A 21,546-nucleotide genomic window follows, 5' to 3' on the forward strand; every position below is an offset into this window, starting at 1 on the left:
ACTAGTTGCCTCTGATGTGAACTACATTTTTGACAGGTTGAGATAATAAATAGTTTCTGATTCTTACTTACCTAGCTCAGGAGAAGTTGATAGTGGTTTTACAAGAGAAAGACACTAATAATGTCACTTGTTGTGCAAATGGAGGCATACAACATGCTCTGAGGGAAGATACCACTTTTTCCAATGTTGGAACTCAACAAGTCCATCCGATGGCCCTCAATTGGCCACTGGAATCTGTAACCGTTGGTTTGCCACTAGACAGGTGAGCATCTACTGAAGCTTCTCAGAATGGAAAAGCTTCCATTCTGGCTGTTGCGAAGAGAAGAAATCTCACCCAGTCCCCTGAATTCACTCTAGCCTGCTCTCTGACTCTAGCTTGCCCCTCATACAAGTACGAATATTTCCCTTTAAGCATCCATGGTCATCTATTTCTTTATTTTATTTATTTATTTATTTATTTATTTATTTATTTATTTATTTATTTGAGATGGAGTCTTGCTCTGTCACCCAGGCTGGAGTGCAATGGCGTGATCTCGGCTCACTGCAAGCTCCGCCTCCCGGGTTCACGCCATTCTCCTGCCTCAGCCTCCCGAGTAGCTGGGTCTACAGGTGCCCGCCACCACGCCTGGCTAATTTTTTGTATTTTTAGTAGAGATGGGGTTTCACCGTGTTAGCCAGGATGGTCTCGATCTCCTGACCTCGTGATCTGTCCGCCTCGGCCTCCCAAAGTGCTGGGATTACAGGCGTGAGCCACCGCACCTGGCCCACGGTCATCTATTTCTTGAAGCCACTCAACTGGTCCTTAAGTCCACCCACTGACATAAATCCTCTTTTAATAACCTCGTTGACCTCTTCCTCTCCCACAGCTCTTCTCTGTTTCCATGAAGTTCCCATTTGTGTCCAGTTCTTGGCTGGTACACTGGCCATCCTCCAGCCTGGAATATCACCCTACTCTCTAAGTTTAGCCTCTCCCCTTATTTAATACTGGGGCACATACTAAGTTCTTCCAGATCTGCTTCTCATCCTGTTCCTCTCAGCCACCCTGTAGGATTTGTATAGAACACATTGTATACATACTTGAGTTCATGTTTACCACCCATTTGCAGGCCTTTTTTGTGGATGTATGCTCAGCCTCTCCTTCCAAACTAACTGTCACCTCCTTGGACTGAGGCTTAGAGTTTAGGGTTTTCAGGATAGAGAGCTTATCTGTTAGGTCCTTTGAACCGCTCCCTAGCATTCTGGCAATAGAGGAGCCCTCTGTATTATTCGTGTTGATAGCCCAACTAGGACTCTCCTAGGTACCTATCTTCTTTTTTAAAACAAAATGTAGCCTGACCAACATGGTGAAACCCTGTCTCTACTAAAAATACAAAAATTAGCTGGGCTTGGTGGTGTGTGCCTGTAGTCCCACCTACTTGGGAGGCTGAGACAGGAGAATCGCTTGAATCCAGGAGGCGGAGGTTGCAATGAGCCGAGATGGCACCACCGCACTCCAGCCTGGGCAACAGAGACTCCGTCTCAAAAAAAAAAAAAAAGGAAAAAAAAATGTTACCAACATCACATCCAAGTGGCATTCAACTCTGGCTTGCATTAGAAGTTGAGTTCTTTGTCATTTTATGCCTGTATGTGTGTCCCAGGGTGGGTGGGAGAAACACTTACAAATAGCTTCTATTGAATAAAGGGCTATGAAGGAATTTTCCATAACACTTGCACAAAAATTATTGCATTTAACTCCCCAGGCTCTTCATAGAAATCCTAACATCTTCCCCTCCCTCCCAAGCCTTTTCAGTTCCCTACACTTTCCCCCCAACCCTGTTCCCAGGGTATAGCGGCAATAGAGCAGCTAAGTCTGTTTGGTATTCAGTTAGAATTATTTATATATCAGAGCTCAGGCTTGTTTATGCAGTAGAATGCTGAAAAGGAAGTGAATCAGATCTATTCCCTAACAGAGCATCCAGGGGTCAGGGTGAAAACAAATACTGATGATAAGGTAAAATCCATGTTCTACAGTCAGCTTTATTATGAACCTCAAATACCACAGCCACGCAGGACCAAGGCCTTGATGTAGTGCCTGCATAGCTAGCAAAGAATACGTGAGCAGCTAGTCATTCCTATCCTAGGGAAGCTCCTGAGCCCATGAGCATGGGGAAAATCCCAGAGGCCTTCAGGAAACCATTGATTTTCCATCCCTTCCTCCAGGCCTACACATCCCAAAACTTATATCAGAAAGATCCGTGGTGGGATTCTACAATATAACACACCCTAGCTTGATTAACTTTATGTAAACATATCTTTGAAGTGACTACATTTAAGTTTTTCAGCAGCAGTAATTAACAGCTACTACCATTCACTGAGTTTCTACTATGTGCCTGGTATTATTATACAGCTCTCATTTAATTCTACAACAACTCTGAGAAACCATTAGCATTACTCTCATTTTATTGATTAAGAAACTCAAAGATGCAAAATCTGATATCTATGAAGTAACAGACTGAGGATTAACACTCGAGCTCCTTTGATTCTAAAGCCCATTGTTTTCCTTTAGATCAGGGGTCCTTAACCCCTGGTACTGGTCCTGTTAGGAACTGGACCGCACAGCAGGAGGTGAGCCGAGGGTGAACCAGCATTTCCACCTGAGCTCCAGATTCTGTCAGATGAGCAGCAGCATGAGATTCTCAAAGAAGCATGAACCCTGTTGTGAAGTGCACACGTGAGGGATCTAGGTTGTGCGCTCGTCATGACAATCTAATGCTTGATGATCTGTCACTGTCTCCCATCACCCCCATATGGGACCATCTAGTTGCAGGAAAACAAGCTTAGGGCTCCCACTGAGTCTACAATGTGGTGAATTGTATAATTATTTCATTATATATTACAATGTAATAATAATAGCAATAAAGTACACAATAAATATAATGTGCTTGAATTGTCCTGAAACCATCCCCCAACACTCCTGCCCCACTCTGTGGAAAAATTGTCTTCCATGAAACTGGTCTCTGGTGCCAAAAAGGTTGGGGACTGTTGCTTTAGACCACCCTGCCTCTGTATGCCACATGTGAGGCAGTGGCTGCATTTAGAAGGTGGGGGCTGAAAGTTCTGCTGAGGAGGGAAGTAGTAACTTGAATATCATGTGTCTGGTCTGTCAGGAGTTTTTACCTTGGTTTCACTGCCTCAGAAACACTCAGGGCTGGAGGCCCGATAGGAGAGAGACTGGATTCTTATCCAGTTTATGCCACTCTGGACAAAGCCCTATCTTGCCTTGCACTTAGACTTGGGAAGACAGGTTTCTCCTTATGTTAAAAATTAGTTGGCCAGGTGCAGTGGCTCACGCTTGTAATTCCAGCACTTTGGGAGGCCGAGGTGGGTGGATCACCTGAGGTCAGGAGTTCGAGACCAGCCTGACCAACATGGAGAAACCCCATCTCTACTAAAAATACAAAATCAGTTGGGCCTGGTGGTGCATGACTGTAATCTCAGCTACTTGGGCAGCTGAGGCAGGAGAATCGCTTGAACCCGAGAGGCGGAGGTTGCAGTGAGCCGAGATGGCGCCATTGCACTCCAGCCTGGGCAACAAGAGCGAAACTCCATCTCAAAAAAATAAAAAACAGAATTAGTTATATTAAAAAATAGAACAGACAATGCTGCCACTGTAAGTCTTCAATCAGAGTGCAGATAAGTAACCCGTCTAAGATGTGGTGCAGGATATGTTCAAGTCTCAACCCAGGCAAGAGCTCTGTGATGAGAAGTTGACTATTAATGGCTGGGTGGCCTTCACCTGGCATGCATTTACTCACATTCTCATGGCTGCAACCCAATTTCCTTCCTGAGCAGTGGGATGATGTTGGTGGGCTTTCTGGACAGCTCCTGTGGTGCCTCTGAAAAGCAGGGCTCTGCTTACTACACTGGTCCCAGGGCACAGAAGAGGGAGGGAGGGCCCCGCATGAAGAATCCCAGGCAAACCTCCAATCCTCTATGCTCCAGAGCACACAAACAATCAGGACCTGTAGGTCTTTCAGCAGAAGGGGCCTCAGAGATGATCCCTCCAACTCCAGCACTTAGAGGTGGGCAGACAAGGCAATGAGAAAGGAAGCTCCATGCTTAACACTGCTGGGAAGTGGTGTGCTGAGACTAGAATTCTGGGCTTTTTAAACTCCACATCATCAGAGCTTCTCCAGCCTTGCTCTGCCCCTGCAGCCCAATTTGGGCACATTTATCCCAAAAGAGGTTTTGCCTCTGTACGGCCTCATAAGGACGGGTCACTCCTGTCCCTGCTTTGAGTAACTCCCAACACAGTCTCCGTGCCCTCAAGGCTATGTGTATTTCTCACTTTCCCTGGAACTAGTCACTCATGGACACTCTGCACTCCTACTTCTAAACTGCATACTTCTGCAGGCCCAGGCCTACATATCTTTCTTTCTTAGCTGCCAACTTCTTTTTGTCCAAGTAGCTGCCAGCATAGAACAGGTAATCAATACATATTTATTAAATAAATGAATGTATAATGAATAAATATCAAAAAGTTGCCTACAGTACTCAAGAAGATGGACAGTTTCAGGCAGCAGTTGATTAGAAGACAACTTCAGTAAGGGGTAATAAAAGGTGGCTCTTCTTCCCCATTTTTGCATCCTTCCTTCCTCGCACTCACACTGTGAACCAGAAGGGTTTACCTTTAGAGTGCTATTCTATGGTTGAAGAGGAGGCTAGGCTGAGGGTCTCCTTCCTCTGTCTTGTCAGAAGCACCCCTAATGGTGGCTAATAAATTCGATTGCATCTATCCTTCAGTTTTCTAACCTTCTGTCTCTTTTGGTCCTACCTTCAGCTCAAGGGCTTAAGAAAGAAGATATTTCTTTTGGGGAAGATGATTTAACCTTTGATTGGACCTCCAGGTTTCTCAAACCCTGTCAGCAACCCACCTTTGCATCCAAGACTTACTAGGAAAATCCAACATTTAAAATACCGCTACTGAAACAAATTATATGATAATAAAACAGCAAATTCCTTAGCCTTCCCACAGTCACCCTCAAGATGTTATAAATTATAATAGAAGTGGTTTCAATTCTTTTTTTCTGCAACAGTATAATAAAACTATTTTGTGATACGTAGTCTAATAATACACAGATTTTTTTAAACAAATGAAATCTGAATTGTCAGTGACAGTGTATTTTTCTTCTATGAATATTAGAAATCTTAGCAAGTGTGGCTGATACTTTCAAATGGGACTCATATCCTACATAGGACATGTTGATAATATCATTGCATTAATTTGGGGATGATGAAGACTTATTCCAGAGGTGGTATACCAGTTGTTCCCTACATATTCTATTTGGATTACAAGTGATTGTCTAACATTTTTAAAAAAGTTGAAGTATATTCCAACATTTAAACATCTAGATGTTTTCTTTAAAAAGGTGTGTTTTGTTGAATATAGAAAATAGGCAATACAAGGTCTTTGTTCCTGCATTATACAACTAAATTTGGTCTAAATGAGTGACTGCCATCTTTAGCCAGGACACAAACTCTCTGGTCAACATAACCCACAGCACTCTCTATTGTCTAGTGGAACTAAGGTCATGTGTCAGTTGCCATTTATCACTGGGTTTGCATGATGGTTTGGATTTATTTTGGCTTATCCTTTTGATATGTACCCAGACAGCTTAAGGTATCCACCTAACTTCTGCAGTCATCTGCGATAGGACCCAGTGTATTGCAAGGCATTACATGACGGACTGGACCCAATTCAAGCTCTGGTACTTGTTCCCGAGGCCAGAAGACAAGCCTTTCTTGCAAACTGCACAAGACTCAACACAGTCCTACTGCTTCCAGGAAGGCTTTTGTGACTGCTGGTGCTCAGCTTTTCTTTATTTCCCTGACGCGGGGTTCCCCAGCAGCCAGAACCAATGACACCACTTGGTGAGAATTCACATTGTTGTTCAGTTGCTTGACTTAGAACAGATTTGTCTTTCTATGGGAGAAAAACCCTGAAGATGAAAATACTATCTCTTGGACAAGAGAGCCTGACCTCTCTCTGCTCACAGCTATTGGACACATATCCTATTCAACAGAGCGAATACTTTGAACCTGGGTTAAGCAGGGAAAAAAAAACAACAATTTAGGTTACCTTAATCAGCAAGGCAAACAGACTTTTCATTTCCTTTACTTTTTTTCAGACTGTGGCCAGGGCTTCCCTGGCAATAAAAGATCATACCAAATTGTTCTAAATTATGTAGATGATAGTTATTAATATAATCTTCTTCCAAAAGAAAACAAATGTCATAAAGCCAGCAATCCATGCCAGAGAAGCCCAGGAATGTTCCCCCTTAGTAGGGTGTCCGGCTAACCTGGGCGCTGGCAAGTCATTCCTCCCTTCACAGTCTGAGGCTGAAGAGGTCACTTGGTTTGAGGAAATGGCTCCTCAGCTCCTCCTACCCCCACTTTACCCACTAAGAAAACCAATGGCGCCTTTTATCAGTTTGGCAAAAAGACAAAGGGAATGTTTAATTCTGTACTTAAAATTCTTGGTTCCTACTGTCAGCATTCCCAGTTCTCAGAGAACACTGAATGGATATTTGAAGAGTTTTGTGAAACTGAGACTGAACAGTGGCAACGAGGAGGAAAAGATCCAAAATTAAAAGAACATTTAAAAATACACGCCCCCGTACATTCCACTCTCCTCACTTTTCTCTCCTCCTCAACCAAGTCATATTCAGCCCTTAGGAATATTCCCACAGGAGGGAGGTGATGTAATATCCTCAGACTGTCTGTGTTCCAGTCCCAATTCACCCTACCTAGCCATGAGGACTTGGGTAAGGAAGTGAACGTCTCCATGCCACAGTCCCCATGACAGTAAAGTGAAGTTAACAACAGTGCCAAGTTCTGGAACCTGTCATCTATGAAGGGCTCAATACATATAAACTACTATCATCATTTTAATTTTCTAAGGAAAGCACCTGATTACAACAGGATCTGCAACGCAGAGTAACAGCTGCCAACTGGCAGACTGCTGACCCTAGCCTTTCAAGCTAAGACTTTGCAGGGTAATAAAGTGAAGCTCTCTAGTCATTTCAAATGAGTGAACTGTTCTCACTTGGCAAAACCGGGGCCTCTAGAAATCCAGAAGAAATTGAATTAGCACCTTCTTCATTATCTCTCTCTCTCTCTCTCTTTTTTTTTTTTCGAGACAGAGTCTCACTCCGTCGCCCAGGATGGAGTGCAATGGCGTGGTCTCAGCTCACTGCAACCTCCGCCTCCCGGATTCAAGCAATTCTCCTGCCTCAGCCTCCCAAGTAGCTGAGATTACAGGTGCATGCCACCATGCCCAGCAAATTTCTTTTTTGTATTTTTAGTAGAGATGGGGTTTCGCCACATTGACCAGCCTGGTCTCCAACTCCTGACCCCAGGTGATCCACTGGTCTCGGCCTCCCAAAGTGCTGGGATTACAGGCGTGAGCCACCGCATCTGGCCAATTCTTTTTATTTATTTATTTTTTGAGATGGAGTCTTGCTCTGTCCCCCAGGCTAGAGTCAATGGTGCAATCTTGGCTCACTGCAACCTCAACCTCCTGGGCTCAAGCGATTCTCCTGCCTCAGCCTCCCTAGTAGCTGGGATTACAGGCACCTGCCAACACACGTAGCTAATTTTTGTATTTTTAGTAGAGATGGGGTTTCACCATATTGGCCAGGCTGGTCTCGAACTCCTGACCTCAGGTGATCCACCCGCCTCAGCCTCCCAAAGTGCTGGGATTACAGTTGTGAGCCACCGTGCCTGGTCAATTATCTCTTTTAAAGAAGGATTTTTCTTCTTACATAGAAAATTTGTGTTTAAGGGGGATCTTGGGATGTCAAAATGGGCTCTGCCTTTTCAATCTGAAAATATACTGATGTGATGTGTGACCATCTAAGAACATTGCTGCACTTGAAATGTGGTCTATAAATTATTTTATAGACTGAATAATGTAATCATCCTCAGATTAGAAGGCCAGAAGAGGCTGTATGAGGCCCTCTTTTCACAGAAGAGCCATCCAATCCCTGAGAGTTGAGAGACTATGACCAAAATCAAGTGAGGGGTAAAGATGGGGCTGGAATTCAAGTCTTTTGGCTTCCCATCAAATGAATTTTTCATCTCACCAAGCTAACTCTGATAGCTAGGTTGGATGACTATGCTGTTGGAAAGTGCTGGGCCTTGTAAGACTTTCTGATTCTAGCTCTTTTTGTGAGAGAGGATGAGTTTTAATAACTACACAAACACCCGATTTATTCTCAAGCAGCCTGTGATGCAGGGCCTTGGCCATACCTCCCAATGTGTCATCATTTCCATGGGAAGACCTACAAGGAGCAGGAATCCAACATACAAGGACATAGTGAGAAGCAAAGAGGCATGAAAGTGGATAAGAATCTTAGTGGTGGAAGTTCGAAACCACTGAATAATGAGAAACTTTTTTGAACACAATGATGTGGCACAGTCAGCTGTAAAACATCTTCTTCCTTTGTTAGCTTTCTTCCAAAGTGTCCCAGCGACAGGCTGGTGGTCAACTTTCATGGTGTTTCTCCAAAGACCTTCACGTGGTGCCTCATGACAGACGTTCCTTGGAGATTGTCTAAGGAGAATAGAAGAAGCCTGGACAAACAAAGCTATGAAAACCACAACTTCATTCATTCCTGAAGGTTTGCATTCACAAAAATTGCACAAATTGTTCTGCACATTGAAAAATAACACCAAAATCTTATTTTTAGAAAGGGAATATAATGACACAATTGGGGTTCCTTTAGCTTTCCAAACAGTGCCCAACAGTAGTTTCCAAGAAAGTCATGAGCTAGCTTTTTTCTAATTGTGTACACAGTTGTGTTTGTGTAAATGTACACAACTGTATGCATGTACACAAACACACTCACCATTTAATAGCCAAAAATCCCTCTAAAATGTTAGGGGAAGGAAAGATCCATTTTCTAGTTCAAGTCATCAGTCTTAAAATTCACAGTTGGGAGAAATTCTGCTACAATGAATTATGTAAAAAAATTATGATTCTTCCTCTCAACCTAATGTAGGAGAATTGCCTTCACCCACAAATGATCTTACGCTACACTAGAACTACTCAGTCAGCATCTTTAATTATCATTTCCCACCAGCCTCTAGGCCAGTGCTTTTCAAAGTTTAATGTGCATACGAATTGCCTGGAGATCTTATTAAATATGCTAATTCTGATTCAGTAGGTCTGGGGTGGGCCCTGAGATTCTACACTTCTTATAGTTGCCGAGTGATGCCACAACTTCCAGCCCATGGACTAAACTTTGAGTAGCAAGATTCTAGACCAAGCCCACTTAACACTGTTCTCTCACTAGGGCAAGAAGTGGGCTACAGCCAATTTTATGGCTAGGATGGTAGACTTCTGTGAGGTGCCATATTCCCTGTGAATCTTCCCCTCCTTCAGAGATACCGCCTTTTGTATCATCTTTCTTCCTTCTCTTCTGAATGCACTTGCAGTTGCAAACCTAAAGGAGACAGCCTGTTGCACTGGTCCAGGGAGAAAAGCATGCAAACTTGGGTTTGAATTTCATCAATACCACTTACAGGCCAGGTAATTCTCTCTGAGCCACATCTGTAATATGGAGCTAAGATACTGTGGTGTGATCATATATATTGGTTTTCATCCACAGTCCCTGGCTCATAACTCCCATATCCTTTGTTACAGTCTTGTTATAATGTTGATTGTGTGAGGCCTCAGGGACAGGTCTCTGATCTTCTCCTGCCCTACAGTCACCTGCCCCAAAGCAGGACTCTACTCTTTCCCCACCTTTCTGATTGTAGGTTTTAAGACCCTCCTCAGAGAGAGTCCCACCCTATACTCTGAAGAGAGATAATGCTGATATCATGACGCTTCCATAAAAACCCAGGAGGGCTGGGTTCAGAGCTGAATATGTGGAGGTTCCTGGAGAATGGTGCCCCAGGGAGGGCATGGAAGCTCCGTTCCCCTTCCCCCATACTTAACCCTAAACATCTCCTCATCTGTATCCTTTGCAATATCCTCTATAATAAACTGGTAAACATGTTTTCCTGAGTTCTTTAGACTACTTCAGCAAATTAATTGAACCCAAAGAGAGGGTGGTGGGACCCTCAACTTAAAGCTGGTTGGCCAGACGTTCTGGAGGCCTGGACTTGCAACTCGTGTCTGAAAGCATGGGGGGCAGTTGTGGGAACTGAGCCTTCAACCTGTGGGATCTGACAATATCTCCAGGTAAACAGTGTTAGAATTGAATGGAAGGGTACCCAGATGGTGTCTGTTACTTGGTGTGTGGGAAAAACTCCCACGCATGTGGTCACAGAAGTCTTCTGTGTTGATTATTGTTGTGGTGGTATGTATGCAGAGGGAAAACTCAGTTTCTGAGAATTTTTCCCAAAGTGGAAATCCACCCCTGAGCTTGTTATGGTAGATAAATGAGAGAATGTACAGCACCCAGAACAGTGCCTTGTACGCAACCATTCAACAAACAGCAGCACCCTCTTCTCTTTCTTTTCAAGTATCATGCCCCAAGTCAGTTCTTCATCCATGGTCCCAGCAGGAAAGACTTGAGGGCATAGCTTGTAATACCTATAGCATGTAATAAAAGTCCTATGGCACTGGCAGTTAGAAGGCAAGGTACAATCTTCCTTTCTTGGCAGTAAGTTATAAAACCTTTATCATGTTTTTTTGTCTTCTGTCATCACTCCTAAATTGGTATATTTGGCATTGTCATTAATTAACTAACACATTTTACTGAGCCCCTATTATGTGCCAGACAATAAATAAAAAATACAGATGAAATCTCCAAATGCAACCAGCTCCCAGATTAGCTAGAGTTTAGGTAGAAAAACTCTGGATAATTGATTAATAAGGTCACATCTTCTTCTTTCTTTTTTCTTTTTCTCTTTTTTTTTTTTTTTTTTTTTGAGACATTGTCTTGTTCTGTCACCCAGGCTGGAATGCAAAGATGTGAACTCTGCTCACTGCAACCTCCACCCTCAGGGTTCAAGCGATTGTCCTGCCTCAGCCTCCTGAGTAGCTGGAATTACAGGCATGCAGCACCATGCCAGCTAATTTTTGTATTTTTAGTAGAGACAGGGTTTCACCATGTTGGCCAGGCTAGTCTCGAACTCCCGACCTCAAGTGATCCACCCACCTTGGCCTCGCACTGGGATTACAGGCACATTGCATTTTCATTCTAAGATTTGGTGTTCTACGGATAGGACCTTCGTAACAGCAAAGTTATGTCACTATGGTACAGTTGGCATAATAAAATTAGTTCAACATATAGGCAAAAGAAATGATGGTCTGGACATCACTGGGCAGAGTTTTTATTCTTCTAAGTTCATCAGTTACTGGTAGAAGGATCGTGCTAGAATGCTCAAGTTTCCCATCTCATCCCTGATGCTGCATTCAGAAGCAAACACCACACCTGCCAACATTCTAAAGGTGGTTTTCTTGTTGGGGAATTCAAAGTGAAGGTGACAGCAGAGAGTTAAAGACATTCACTTAGAAAATGGTCACTCCTCACTTTTAAAAATGAGTCCGGTAAATGAAAAAACGTTAGATTTACAAATTGAATAGAAAAAACACTCTATAAGAAGGTTTTCTGGCTAAATGAATGAAAGGTATCCGTCTGTGGTTTAATCACATTCGATTGAATAACGGTTGTTAGCTAAATTTGACTTTCCTGTCAAAATTGTCACCATGTTGCAAACTGACTTTAAAAGACTAACTAGAGCCAGAGTGGAGTAGTGAGAAATTAATACACAAAGCTCGGGTAACAAGGAATTCATCTAACCATCCATGTCTTGACCTCTTTCTAACCCAAAGTACAAAACTTGGCAGGAAGCAGATGAGGAAGTCATTAATATGTGGAAAAGGATCTCTCAAAGGCACATCAAGACCCTGTGCCTTTCACTGATGAAAATCAAAAGGAATTGTACAAATATTTACCACAAGAAAATAATTCTAAAAGGTGAAGGATTTCCACAATTGACACAGAGCTCTGTATTACTACCTAGGCAAAGTTTCTGGTTAGTACAGGCTCCCGTGCCGTTCTGAAAGTGAGGTGTAGAGGTCAGAGTTCAAGGACTGGCCTTGAGCTCTTTAAAAAGATAATCAATCAGCTTTGTGTGTGTGTGTGGGGGGGGTGTGTGTGTGTGTGGCATTTCTAGTTAAAGATGCAAAAGGCCTGATGAAAACTGTTTGGGTCTTTACTTGATCAAATCAACTGTAAATTTGAATATGGACTCAATATTATATAACATTAAAGAATTATTAATTTTCTTTTGGTTTGATCATGGCATTATAGTTATATAAACATATTTAAAAATATATACAGTGAAGTATTTAGTGTTGAGATGACATGATGTCTGAGATTTTCATTAAAATACTTCGGCAAAATAAAAAAATGTGTGTGTGTGTGTTAGCAGGAGGGGTAAGTGAAACAACGATGGTAAAATGTTGATGGTCATTGAAGCTGAATGATGGGTTCACTGGAGCACTGCACTTTCTCTCAACTTGAGTATTTTTGGAAATTTTCACAATAAAAGATTAAAAATCCAAAACCACAAAATATAGGGTTTCTTAAAAAGCACTAAAAATAGTTTACACAACAATACTGACTCTTGCCGTGAAATGCAGAGAATAGGTGCAAAAACCCGAGAGCAGTAATTAATGGCCAATCTTATGTGCATTCCTTTAAGCACAAGCAGCTGTCATAAACATCTTAATTTAAAGAGTTGGGGTTTGGGGAATCATGGCACTGCAAAAAGCTACGTCCTGCTGCTGCTCCACAGAACTGGTACATATCAGACCCTTAAATTTTTAAACACAGCTTTCATGTTTTTGAGAGCTGAAAAACCTTTGAAAAGTCAGCTTGTTAGGAAATTCACCTTGCAGACTCCTACTTCAAGGGTTGGTGGAGGTGCTTGGGTACCGGAAAAATTGATTTTGGGATGGGGGTGGAGGTTCACAGGTAAACATGTTGTGTGCTTCAGAAGAAGCTAGCTTGCTCTAAATATACGGGGCGTAGCTACATTGCAGTGTTGCCTTTCAGCAATGCAAAATATACCACCTGGCTAGAGAGGTATTTCAAGTCTACAAAGCCCCACCTCCCAGCCTTTATTGTTCCTTTTCCAGTCTTTGTCATAAAATAGAAAGAGGCGGCATTTTGAAGACGGAAGAAGCACTAAACAGGAAGCAGGAGCCTAAAATCGAGTTTCTCATACTGCTGTGTGTTACTGTAAACACTAGGCCATGACCTGCCCTAGGTGCTTCTTCTGTGACATAGGATCAGCATCTCACACCCATGAAGGTCTCTTGAGTCCCTTAAGGCCTAACACACCTGAATACATGGGCTGTGATACGGGAGCTAGCCTGATGCCTCCATTCACCCCACAAGATGTAGTCCTCGCCCTGACGGCAAGACGGCATGCGAGAGTCCTATTTGGGTTGTAAAGTTTAATGCGAGCAGAAAGAGGCAGACGATAGCTAACATAATCTAAGTTAACCATTGAAAAACCCAGACTGTCCAATAAAAATACTGGAACGAACCCAGTCACCTTTTATCAAGGGTACATTTAACCATCCTCATTGGTGGCTACTTCCATTCATGGTCACGCCCTTCCCTCTTGCCTCAGGAACTCAGTATTTGTGTGTAAATAAGGACGTGTTGTGGTATTCTGGGTGCTGATGGTTCCCCAGGAACTTAGGGACACCTGTGTGCAGGGCTGCACTTGACAAGAAACAAAGTTGCCGGCAGCACAGGACAAGGCCTCCTATTAATTTCTCGAATCGATCCTGGCAGTGATTATCTGGTCCAGGAAAGAACAGGTCTTTGTTCATAGCACCAGATTTGAATTTTTTAAAACAACACTCTCTATTGCCCGTAAGAATGACTAATAACGGGCGGCTGTAATTTCCCAGAGTTTGTGGGTATGACTTCTTCAGCTTTCCTTGCATTTGAATTTGCCATATTTCGACTGGGGGCTTCCTAGGGCTTTCAAGCACAATGTAACCAAAACCCCCAGCCAGCTCTCGGTTCAGCCTGGAGAACTTTGTGGTACTCTCGAACTTACTACTTCCTGCCCCCACACCTGAGAGTCTCCCCGCACACTGTTTTCCCTGCATCATCCACCATCAATCAAACAAACAGAGAAACACAGAAACCTCAGTTCTCAAGTGCAATCAATACAACCTCCTTTCCTGGGGTAACGATGCCTTCGTTTTAAAGGTCATGGAATGAGTCAGGGGCAGAAGAGAGAAACAGAGGCCGTGGGTTCTTTGACTAAACATCTCGCAGAGAGATCGGTGGATCCACAAAAATGACCTCATTAAGCTGCACCAATTGCCGGGCGGGGAGAGCAGTCCAAATTAACAAAAAATCAGAGTGATCAGAAAACAGTTTTGTTATTTTACACATGGTCTCAAGAGCTAGACAAATAAATTTGCCTAGTGTATGTTCTAAGTCACAAATAGATAAGAGGAAATTGAAACCACAATAGCCAAGCACCTCCCTGAGGAGACCAAGGCTGGGCTTCCATTACAATAATATTCTTATTTATGTTTTCTCATGCACATTATTTAAGTATATATTTATTTACTCATACAGACCAGATTTGTTGAGTACTGCTATGTGGAATTCACAGTATGAAGTGCCGTGGGGCAGGCAGACCTGGGTACCCTCAAAGAACTTGGTAAATAGCTATTTCTTAACTGCTAGTAAACAAGTTTCTCTTCTAGTAAGAAAAAATAATGGCTGGAAAACTTATTTACACCTTCAATACACAAGGCTATTTTGCACAAACCAGATATAGGAAACATTTATATATGGAGCTTTTCTAAAACAGATAAAATCAGGGCTCAGTCTTCTTTATGAAAACAAAAAGTAAAACACTTTGCAATTTGAGCAAAGATTATTTCTGCAGAGGGTCATCTCTAGTAAGAGGTGCCTGCTCCTCAGACCAAGTCTGTCTCTTTCAGGGCCATTCCTTACTGGATGGTGACTCATTTTACTCAAGGACTCGCCCTAGACGGCGTGCAACCAACCCTTTAGAAACACATCAATTGTTTAAACAAACTATGCCTGTATTCATTTGCTTAGCAAATCATTTTGTCACAGATTTAGCCCAGCCAGAGTCTAAATGATCACAATTACTGAAACTATACCAATACCTTTTCTACTGAAAACCTATCAAAGAAATAACATCAGTTCACATTATCATTATTGATTCCTGCCCTTTTCTCCCTTAACTCCATTCTCTTCCCTTTCAGTTTGTTATTTATTTTCTTATGTTCTGAATTTCAAGAAGACTTCCATGTGTTGTCAACATATGGTACATCATTCACATAAGTACATAAAATTCTCTATATGTCATTAAAGAACTGAGCTTGTGTTCCAGTGAGTGAAACTGAAGAGGAAATAAAATCACAAAGATAACCCCACAAATTAAGGTGCAGCTAAAATAGCAGCACCCTTCCCCCATCACTCACTGCACTATTTCTTAGAACTTTTATCTTTACATATGTACAAATAAACAGAGTGTTTCTGTTCTGCCTTATTTGTGTAGAGGACTTACGTGCAGCTCTCTGACCTTCCTCTGGCTCTGATTAGCCCCTGAGGGACGTGGATCACCCACATGCAACAGGCTGCTGACACCAGCAGAAAGCTGTCTTTCAGAACAATCAAGAGTCCCACCTAAGGACATCATGTCCACCTGCTCTTCTCTGGTTCAGCTGACTTCCCTGGACTTGCTTTCTTGTTGCCCTGATCTGTGCTCCGTGCCAGATCTCACAAACAAGGCTGGACTCTGCTTATTCCTGGCCAGTCTTGTCCTGTAGTCATCCAAGAAAAATACTGGAAAGGAGGACCACAACCTTGGCCAGTGGAGACCCTGTCATTCTGATGAACATTTCTAACACAAGATGTGAAGACCCTCCTTCCCATTTCTCATCCTTCCCTCTCCACGTCTCACAAACACCAAGTCTATTTCCCAGAGAAGTGGTCAGGGTGCAGTGAGTCAGGCAGCCAAAGTAATCCTGCAGGTGAGCATGTTGCCACTGACCCTTGAGTTTAACTTCTTACCAGATCTCTGCAAAGATAGAAAAAAACTAGCTTGCAAGAAACCCCAGCTCTCTGGATGATCTGTCCTTAGGCTGCTGAGATTTTCAAGGGTGTGCAGACAGTTGAACTTCACTTATTTTCAATAATTATAAAAATACATAAGAATTTTATGTATTATTTAAATGATACATAGGGACTCCTTATCCAAGAAAGATATTGTCAAAACTAGATTTTATAAAAAGGCTAACCATTATACATAAATAAATGGCTTAACATATAAAGTTTTATTTTAGCAATAGCAGCTACCCTTAGTTTCGATGCGCATATAGGTTGAAAAAGGTTTGCTGAAAGAGAAAAATAGACTGTTTATCATCTCAAAACTGGTTGAGATTGACAAATGTGATCCTATCAAAACCATTCCCCCCCCCACTCACATAAAATGGCCATGTTCTTTGAAAATTTGTGGAAAATTACTTTTTTTTTTGAAAATTATTCCCCTCAGGGCACATAAGGCGCAGGGAAAAAGCAAAGGAGAAACTAAGTTAAACTAGTTGAGTACTTTCTCAGTGTAATGATTTGAAACATCAAATCCCCCTAAATAAAATAAACAATAGATTATCTGCAAATAATCCTCCCTGGAGGTTTTCACACTAAAACAAATATGGAATAAACTCATGAGACTTTATCAGAGTCACAGTTAGGACTCTAGCCAGGAGTACACACAACTCCATCCATCCATCCTGCCATCCACACATCCATTTATTCATCTATTCAAATAACAAATCAAGAAGTATTTATTGAGTGCTTACTACATGCAAGATCTTGCTCTTGGGGCTTGGAGGCTACAAGAAGGACCAAGGCAAGCTCTCAATCCACAAGGAGGGTGAGAGAAAGGAAAAAGTTTGGAGTATGTGCAGTTGTGTAGAGGTTTCTTCAGTGCACCAGAGACAAGATGGATCTGTGTGGCACGGTCAACACTGTAGCCCTTGACCTTATCTTAGAGAAACTAAGTGCTTGAGGTAAAGATGTTAATTCCCTTAAGGCTTAGCAAATGTACCAAATCTGATAGTGTGCAATCTGTATACTGACTTTACCTCTGGCTTCATGTTATGATTCCTACCTTTGTTTTCTTTCCACCCGGATTTATTCATGAATTTTTATCTTGGATACTCTATGTGGTATTATAAGCCACCTCAAATCCTCTTGGGAAATAAAGGGGTCTAAATTCTTAAAGGATAAATACAATTACCCTGCTAGATCACTAACAATGATAACAAGGATGGTAATTCTTATTATCACAGGTAACTTTCATTGAGGGCTCCTATGTGTTGAGTACTGTTCCAAGCACTTTACATGTATTTTCTTGTTTATTCTTTATAATAATCTTTTGAGATTGTTACAATTATTATCCCTATCATAGTAAAGGAAAACGAAGCACAGAGAGCTTATGTAATATGCTAGTATGTGGTAGAACCAAGATTTGAACCCATACACTTTGAATGTGGAGCGGCTCCTTGTGTTTTATCCAGGTGTTCGGGCTCTCCAGGTCTCCTGATGGGACAGAAGCCCATTGCTTCCTGCTCGGACTCAGTAGCTTTCCCTATTGTTTGACTTTAGGACTCCGATGCTGTGTCCTACCTAGTCTTAGGGAACTTCTTGAATATTGGCCCCATCTTCTCTGATGCTGTGGCCGGTTTAATAGGAGCTCCCATATCTGAGTACTGTGTCTCTGGAGGGCGAGCTCCTTAAGAAAAGAGTGGGTCTTGCTCACTTTCTAATTTTGAGTACCTGGAGGCATACATGAGCCATAGCAGGTGTTTAAGAAAGGCTGGTGTGGGTTGACTGAATGAATGAGGGTCCCACCACTTTCCGGTGAATACTGTGCCTGAGATCTTCTGGCCACCCTCCCAGAGAGGTGCTCCCAGGTCCTGGCTCCCTCCTCCCCGCTCCTCACACTGGGCCCTTCATGATAGCTCTGTAGCTTCATCTGCCTATGTTTGGTGAGTTCTACCTGTCTAGGTGACGCTTCTAAAATTAAACAACTATTAATCTGTGAATGGTAAAGCATATGCATTCAGATTTTATCAAAGCAGAAAGCACATTTTACAAGGAAAAAGGTCTTTCTGATTAGCGATTATAAAATTGACTTAATTTCAATCTAGTTTACCATATTCAGAAGTGCCACATTCAGAATTGGAATGGACACTTTTAATTATCTTACGAGTTTAGGCATTTCAATGTCTTCTTTTCCCCCGATTCAGCTTAGCACAATGCCAGCACCCCTCTCTTTCCCACTCTCACATGGGTCTTTCTCTATATTTTCTGCGCTCTTATTACCTGGACTATTTACTTGCTTATTAATCATGTGTAACTTAGTGATATGCATCATGGTGCTCAATTGTTATTTAATTCCTGCTTTGTTAGTTCATGGCACCCATGTTTCTATCGCCCATGGAAAAATTTTTTTAATTTTTAATTTTTATGAGTACATAGTAGGTGTTTATATTTAGGGGGTAGATGAGATGCTTTGATACAGGCATGCAATAAGTAATAATCACATTATGGAAAATGGGGTGTCCACCCCCTCAAGCACGTATCCTTTGTGTTACAAACAATCCAATTATAATCTTAGTTCTTTTAAAATATACAATTAAATTATTTTGACCTTAGTCACCCTGCTGTGCTGTGAAATACTGTTTTATTCTTTTTGTTCTTTTTTGTACCCCCTCCCATGGAAATTTCTTGACAAGAGATCATTGTGACTTGTGCCTTTCGGGATCTAGTCACTTGAGAACTGGTTCCATGGTGCTTCAGTAAAGGCCATGAAATTTCATCAAAGACTATGTCCCTCAAATAAATCTAATTAAATGTCCTCCACTGGGTCAGTCATACGAGTGAAGTGGAAGGGAGGCCATATAGAGCAGTCTTCAGGCAGAATTCTGGTCAGAATTGTAGAAATTCTGGTCACAAGGTAAAGGCAAGAAAGGCAAGGGGTGAATGGTAGTGGTGGTGGTTTGGGGGGCACACAACATTTTTTGAATCACCACATCAACTAGGTACCAGGCTAAATGATTTACACACCTGATTTCACTTAACATCTGCATAACCCTCAGATGTTGACATAATGCTGCCTCCCCTTCTACCCATAATTAAGGCCATATAGCTATTAGGTGATGAGGTTGGGGTGTGACTCCGGGTTTACCTGACTCCAAAATGATACTCTTTCCCCTATATTGCTTTCAGAGTCACCTTCACTTTTCACTGCATGCACTGTCCAGAATCCCCCTTTAAGCTCAGAATGAAGGAAATGAAGGTTAATAAGAGGTCATGCTGGCAAGTCTAAGAAATGAATGGGGTCAGGACCAATGGAGAAGGAAAGTGGAAATGTCTGCGTTCTTTGTTGTCTCGGGATTGCAAAAACAAAGGAGGCAAATGGTCCTAAGCAGGTCAGTAAAGGCCAGTATTGAGCACCTACTGTGTGCAAGGCAGTTTGCCACAGCACAGGGCACAAACAGAATTGGGACAAGGTTGTATTACCCAGGCTCCAGCTTACGTGAAAGCCAGCTGGGCCAGCAGGACTCATTTCCCTTTCGTTGCTGCTGGAAAATCAGCATCCAATCATCTCTTGAAAGACCAAACCAAGGTAGTTCCTCAGCTTTGCTTTGCGTAGGCCCCGCCTACAGCCTCGTCTGCATGTGTCTCCCGTGGGGCTGCAGACGCGCCACTGTGTCTAGGGGCGGGTGGGTATGCGGGGAGACTAAACCAGACTTCAGGCAAGCAGGGGGTTAATAGCTCATAAAATAAAACCCTCTAACAGAAAAATGTTATTTTAATTGTATTACATTGAGGAGCCCTGAGGGTCGTGGGGTAGATAATCAAAAAGGACAAGGAGGAAATTAAAAAAGGGAAGAAGGCAATCAAAAAGGCCATTTAGGAGAGGCCCTTAATCCTCAATAGAAAGAACACTAATTATACTACAGAATCTCCTTATAATTAACCCTGATATAAAGTGTTTTTTGAGCAGTAATAACTTTCACATTCACAATCATTTTGATCGCAAACTCCTGTGAACACCTCACAAACAGCAGCTCACACAGGTTTGCTGGTTTTTGTCCCCAGCAAGCCCAGGGATTACACTGCTGTTCATAACCAAAAAGACAAATATTTCTGCCCTCAGCTAAGTCCACTGCTTCATTGAACTCACCCATTGCTTTCATTTTTTGTTGTTATTGTTTTGTTTTGTTTTTTGGCAAGAATAGCTCAAAAGTCAACCATTCTTGTGCCTCCTTCCCCTTCTTTGCAATTGCTTCCCTGTGCTCGTTTTTAACCTTTAATATGACTTGGAATATCCCACGGTTGCAAAACCCACTGAATTCCCAACATACCTTCCTTAGTGAACAGACCCCTGCTTAGATTTACCTACACTCCTAGGGCACACATTGCTGTAATAGTTCTTAACGTTTCCAGACAAAAGCAAGGATTCAGATGGACTCTGCTCAAATCCCATCCACAATAAGAGCCTCACATTCCTCTCGCTGACAGCTGATCCCTTATGAACCAAAGCTCTAAACTGTCAACTAGAACATTTTAAGCACAGATCAGAACAAGGAAAGAATGCAGACAGTTATAGATTTCAGGGGTCCCAGGGTATCTGGAGGCAAAGCAACTGGGACCAGTGCACGAAGGGAGAAGGTCCTGGAACAGGTTGTTTGGGACTTTAAAAAAAAATGGCGTGAAAGTGAAAAGAATCTGTCCCTGTCCTTACATGAACCGGCCATCGCTCTTATCCCACCTAGTAAGAGAAGGAGCAGGATCTCAGATCCCATGAGATCCCTGGGGAGATAGTTTCAATGGGGCACCTGCCTGCCAAGTGAAACTCTAGGAGAGGTTCACGGGCACTCACTCCTGACATTCACAGCGCTCTGAAGGTATTCGTCTCCTCTGAATGCACTCCTGGACCTGGCTTCACCTCCTCCTGGCAAATACACAGTGGACGTATCTGAAAGGTCTACCTGCTCACAATGGGCTACATCCCCACTTTAACTCGGAGACTGGGACACCAAGGTTTGTGAAACACTGAGCCTAGTATTTTTCCTCTGTATCAAAAGAACGAATGCCAAAGGATTTTTTCCATTTTTCCTTGCATGTTATTGGAACTGAAAACCTTACTTCTACTTCCCATCCGGGTGACTATTCTTCATGTAGAATTTAACAAGATAAGAAGATGCTTCCTTTTTGCTTTTTTATTTATTTACCTTTTTAGAATCAGGTCTCATTATGTCACCCAGGCTAAAATACTTTTTTGCTTTGTAAACAGAATCCATAACCAAGAGACAAATATTCTCTTACCGTTCAACAATATTAAGTATCTGCAATATACCCATCCTCCCAACTCACCCTTGGACCTAGACAATACAGGATAGGAATTATATTGACCCTGCTTGTGTAGGGACTAGGTTGCTCCTCTTCAGTTACCTATTCAGTT

General features: G+C 42.3%; 1 protein-coding gene across 2 annotated transcripts in view, besides 4 other annotated features; it reads right to left on the reverse strand.

Annotated features, from left to right (window-relative positions):
* The window catches only part of RORA (RAR related orphan receptor A), a 741,019-nt gene that overhangs the window by 218,614 nt on the left and 500,859 nt on the right, over window positions 1-21,546 (reverse strand). The window lies entirely within an intron of this gene.
* Window positions 13,623-13,672: an enhancer, noted in NCBI's record as "active region_9513". NCBI's record gives its function as "activates an Ori minimal core promoter by ATAC-STARR-seq in GM12878 lymphoblastoid cells {active_cell/tissue: GM12878}" and the evidence as "EXISTENCE:reporter gene assay evidence [ECO:0000049][PMID:35858748]".
* Window positions 13,713-13,762: an enhancer, noted in NCBI's record as "active region_9514". NCBI's record gives its function as "activates an Ori minimal core promoter by ATAC-STARR-seq in GM12878 lymphoblastoid cells {active_cell/tissue: GM12878}" and the evidence as "EXISTENCE:reporter gene assay evidence [ECO:0000049][PMID:35858748]".
* Window positions 14,233-14,322: an enhancer, noted in NCBI's record as "active region_9515". NCBI's record gives its function as "activates an Ori minimal core promoter by ATAC-STARR-seq in GM12878 lymphoblastoid cells {active_cell/tissue: GM12878}" and the evidence as "EXISTENCE:reporter gene assay evidence [ECO:0000049][PMID:35858748]".
* Window positions 14,353-14,462: an enhancer, noted in NCBI's record as "active region_9516". NCBI's record gives its function as "activates an Ori minimal core promoter by ATAC-STARR-seq in GM12878 lymphoblastoid cells {active_cell/tissue: GM12878}" and the evidence as "EXISTENCE:reporter gene assay evidence [ECO:0000049][PMID:35858748]".

This window comes from Homo sapiens, chromosome 15, assembly GCF_000001405.40.
Source record: "Homo sapiens chromosome 15, GRCh38.p14 Primary Assembly".
NCBI lineage: Eukaryota > Metazoa > Chordata > Mammalia > Primates > Hominidae > Homo > Homo sapiens.